The 5,053-nt window shown below is 44.0% G+C and overlaps 1 annotated feature.

The window, feature by feature from the left end:
• Window positions 2,853-3,471: an enhancer, noted in NCBI's record as "NANOG-H3K4me1 hESC enhancer chr10:21598312-21598930 (GRCh37/hg19 assembly coordinates)". NCBI's record gives its function as "activates a minimal SCP1, AML or CMV promoter by ChIP-STARR-seq in primed H9 embryonic stem cells {active_cell/tissue: H9 hESC(primed)}" and the evidence as "EXISTENCE:reporter gene assay evidence [ECO:0000049][PMID:30033119]".

The raw sequence follows: 5,053 nt of genomic DNA, 5'->3' as shown, positions 1-5,053 counted from the left end.
GAGAGGTTGTGAATGGGCAGGAACATGCAGTTAGGCAGAAGAAACAAGTTCTGTTTTTTGTGTGTGTTTTTTTTGAGATCAAATTTCACTCTTGTTGCCCAGGCTGGAGTGCAATGGCGCGATCTTGGCTCACTGCAACCTCTGCCTCCCGGGTTCAAGCGATTCTCCTGCCTCAGCCTCCTGAGTAGCTGAGATTACAGGCATGTGCTACCATGCTGGCTAATGTTTTTGTATTTTTAGTAGAGACGGGGTTTCTCCATGTTGGTCAGGCTGGTCTCGAACTCCCGACCTCAGGTGATCTGCCTGCCTTGGCCTCCCAAAGTGCTGGGATTACAGGCGTGAGCCACCACGCCTGGCCTAGAAGAAACAAATTATGATGTTTGATAGTGGAGCCGACTATAGCCAGCAAGAATGTGTAGTATATTTCAAAGCAGATAGAAGAGAGGACTTGAAATATTTCCAACACATAGAAATGATAAATATTTGGCCAGGTGCAGTGGCTCACGCCTATAATTGTAGCATTTTGGGAGGCTGAGGTGGGTGGATCGCCTGAGGTTAGAAGTTTGAGACCAGCCTGACCAACATAGTGAAGCCCCGTCTCTACTAAAAATACAAAAATTAGCCGGGTGTGGTGGCACACGCCTGTAATCCCAGCTACTCAGGAGGCTGAGGCAGGAGAATCACTTGAACCTGGGAGGCAGAGGTTGCAGTGAACTGAGATTGTGCCATTGCACTCCAGCCTGAGCAACAGAGCAAGACTCCATCTCAAAAAAAAAAAAAAAAAGATAAATACTCAAGGTAATGGGTGATGGAGTTGTTCACCTCTCTACATATTCTATGCATGTAGCAAATACATGTACCCCATAAACATGTAAAATATTATGTATCAATAGGAAAAAATGTGAAAGAGGGAGAGGGAGGAGTCGGGGGTATATATATATATGTATATAGACAGAGAGAGAATGAGAGTTTAAGGCAAGATCTGAGATCCTGGGATATGACCAGTGAGGATGTTAGTAATATTAATAATCTGGTTTGCCTGAACATGAGGGTAAGAAGGACTGAAGGACCCATGCAGAAAGAGTTTTGCTTTGTCCAAGACCAAAGAGTTGAGAAAGAACTTTACTTGTAGGCTGGGGAGTCTGCAGAAGTGGAGCTAGAAAGTCAAACTGGGCCAGGTACAGTGGCTCATGCCTGTAATCCCAGCATTTTGGGAAGGTGACGCAGGAGGATTGCTTTAGCCCAGGAATTTCGACTTTACAGTGAGCTATGATGGCATAACTGAACTCCAACCTGGGTGACAAAGCAAGACCGGTCTCTACAAAAATTTCTTTTAAAAAAATTAGCCAGGTGTGGCCGGGCTCAAGCCTGTAATCCCAGCACTGTGGGAGGTCGAGGTGGGTGGACCACCTGAGGTCAGGAGTTCGAGACCAGCCTGGCCAACATGGAGAAACCCCATCTCTACTAAAAATACAAAAATTAGCTAGGCTTGGTGGCACATGCCTGTAGTCCCAGCTACTCGGGAGGCTGAGGCAGGAGAATCGCTTGAACCCAGGAGACAGAGATTGCAGTGAGCCAACGTTGTCCCACTGCTCTCCAGCCTGGGTGATGGAGCAAGACTCTGTCTCGAAAAATAAATAAATAAATAAATAAAATAAAATTAGCCAGGTGCAGTGGTGTGTGCCTGTAGTCCCAGCTACTCAGGAGGCTGAGGTGGGAGGATCCCTTGAGCCCAGGAGTTTGTGGTTGTACTGAGCTATGATTGTGCCTCTGCCGGAGTCCAGCCTGGGTGACAGAGCAAGAATCTGTCTCAAAAAAAAAAAAAAAAAAAAAAGTCAGTCAAACTGAAGCTAACTCAGGTTGACACCATCAGCCAACTTAGTTCAAGCATTGACGTGCCATATTGACATGCAGCTTACCTCGTGACTATGATAGATATGACTACAAACTAAGGTAATTAAAAAAAATGGAACATAAAGAGTCAGATAATAGTTGTCACCCTTAAAGCAGTCACGTTGGACTGTTTGTTCAAACAATGCAGAGATTTCTACAACTCCTCTTTTGGTTTTATTTTCTAAGCCTACAGCATAGACAGACATTCAGCCATCTTTTTTTTTTTTTTCTTCAGAGGGAGTCTCATTCTGTTGCCCAGGCTGGAGTGCACTGGCGCCATCTTGGCTCACCATCTGCCTCCCGGGTTCAAGCCATTTTCCTGCCTCAGCCTCCCAAGTAGCTGGGATTACAGGTGCCTGCCACCACGCCTGGGTAATTTTTGTATTTATTTATTTATTTTTTAGTGGCCACTGCTCCCAGCCTCATCCATCTTTAATGGTGGAGAATCTTCACCTTCCAAGGGTGTATTTGATTTTGAGGAACACTTAGTAGTTGGGAGCCAAGACTGAGGAAGAGGCGAGTGATCAGGCTGGGAAGGGTTAAGGAAAAACCAGAGCCAGACAGTAAAGGGATGAAACAGATTTTGTTTTATTTTATTCATTTACTTAATTTTGAGACGGAGTCTCGCTCTGTTGCACAGGCTGGAGTGCAATGGCGCGATCTCGGTTTGCTGCAACCTCCGCCTTCCAGGTTCAAGCGATTCTCCTGCCTCAGCTTCCCGAGTAGCTGGGATTATAGGCACCTGCCACCACGCCCGGCTAATTTTTGTATCTTTAGTAGAGACTGGGTTTCACCATGCTGGCCAGGCTGGTCTCGAACTCCCAACCTCAGGTGATCTGCCCGCCTTGGCCTCCCAAAGTGCTGGGATTACAGGCGTGAGCCGCTGCGCCTGGCCAACAGATTTTATTTATTTTAATTTTTGAGAGAGTCTTGCTCCGTCACCCAGGCTGGAGTGCAGTGGCACAATCTCAGCTCACTGCAACCTCCGCCTCCTGGGTTCCAGTCATTCTCCTGCCTCAGCCTCCTGAGTAGCTGGGATTGCAGGCATCTGCCACCATGCCCAGCTAATTTTTGTATTTTTAATAGAGATGGGGTTTCACCATGTTGGCCAGGCTGGTCTCGAACTCCTGGCCTCAGAAGATCTGCCCACCTAGGCCTCCCAAAGTGCTAGGATAACAGTCGTGAGCCACTATGCCTGGCTGAAACAGATTTTAATTAGGAACTATTGCAATAGGGGAAAAGACTTGAGTACAGAATGGGCTTCCATTCTGAACACAGCATGGGGGATTCATAGCCAGGAAGTAGGGTGGAGATTAGGGGATGAAAAATTCCCAGGAAGGAGCATCAGGGGTCAGGGGATTCTGGCTAAACCAATTCGACAGAATCCTTCCTTCAAGACAGGCTAAGGTAATCAGACACCACCTGGTGATGGAGGTGGGGATGAGAAATTTGATCAGATATGGAAAGATTCTCGCTTAACTGACACAGCAGAATTTTTGCTAAAATTAGATAATGCAAAGATAGACACAGAAATTCAAAGGCTCAGAGGGGTCTCACCAAAGTTTGGTCAAGGAGAGTGTCTTGTCAGAAGCACCAGTTGTTGCTGTTTTTTTTCTTTTTCAAGAGTACTTCACAGAGGCACACTTTGAGTTGGAGCCTTAAACTAGAATTTTCTCTTTTTGCAATGCTGAGAATGTATCAAATAATTTAGAATTTCTACAGAAGTTTGATGTACTTTTTGACCTCAAGGAGTGAATTCTGCATGAACAACGTCAGGGACATCAAAGAAACAAATCAACTCTGTCTTGGGTGTGATTTTGATACATCGGCTCCATAGTTTCTCCCAGGCTTTGAAGAGCTCTACTGCAGACACTGACTCTTGTTCCCAGCTCATTTTGGAAACACGTGGTTCGCTGACACTTACTCTGTTCCTCAAGATTGTACCATTTGCTCAGCTTTCCTTAAAAGAAAAGGACAAGAGATACATACATCTTTGCTATTTCTATTACTCAAAAATGTGTGGTGCAGTCTTTATGTTCAAGTTGTCTCAAAGGAAGTTTTTTTTTTTTTTTTTTTTTAAATCTAAATTGAACTCTTCGGCCTTCCTTCTCCCAGGCAATCACCAGTGTGAATTAGCCAAACTGCTGACCATTTAACCGTTTTATTGAACCTGTGGGTGAATGGATCACTACATATTCACCAAAGTGCCTTCCTTACCTAACTTTAAACCTTTTGTTTTGGCTTAAAATGATTGTTCTGGAATAAGTTTCATATTCTCTCTAGATGTATCATTTGCAGATTAATTTCATTTAGAATATAATATTCTTTGCACTGAATGATTCTTTTATATATATAATACAGAAATACAATGTTTGATAAAATTTCTTGATCACAATATCTTTTTTTTATTGTTAAACTTAAAGGAACTTTATTAGTATAAATTTATGGAGGCCGGGCGTGGTGGCTCACGCCTGTAATCCCAGCTACTCGGGAGGCTGAGGCAGGAGAATTGCTTGAATATGGGAGGCAGAGTTTGTGGTGAGCTGACATCATGCCACTGCACTCCAGCCTGGGTGACAAGAGTGAGACTCCATCTCAAAAAAAAAAAAAAGTATAAATGTATGAAGTTCAAGTGTAATTTTGTTAGCTGCATGGATTGCGCAGAGGTGAAGTCAGGCTTTCAGGGTGTCATACATTGTATCCATTAAGTAATTTCTCACCACCCACCTGTCTCCCACTGTCTCACCCTTCTGAGACTCTGTTGTCACCACTCTCTATATCCATGTGTACACATTATTCAGCTCCCACTTCTAAGAGAGAAGAGGAGGTATTTGTCTTTCTGTGATGACAGTTTCTTCAAGCGGATGGGCCAAACTTGAGGGGAGTAACATAGGAGGTGGATGAGGGAATCGGCTTTCATTTCCATTACTAAAAGCCAGGAACAAATAATGATCTTGTTTAAACTTTATAAAAACTGGTGGGGTGGGTATTATTATTCCCATTTAGCAGAAAAATCCCCTGAGATTAAATTAATTACTTGCCAAAAGTTACACAGGCTCCTCTGAGCTGCTTTCCCAACTAAGTCTATCCTGTGGACTTCTATGTCTGTACAAAGGTGCCTCCCAATTTTTGCAAAAATCTTGCTATGTCCATTTTGCAA

This window comes from Homo sapiens, chromosome 10 (genome assembly GCF_000001405.40).
Source record: "Homo sapiens chromosome 10, GRCh38.p14 Primary Assembly".
Classification (NCBI taxonomy): Eukaryota; Metazoa; Chordata; class Mammalia; order Primates; family Hominidae; genus Homo; species Homo sapiens.
This window is presented reverse-complemented; position numbering and strand designations above follow the sequence as displayed.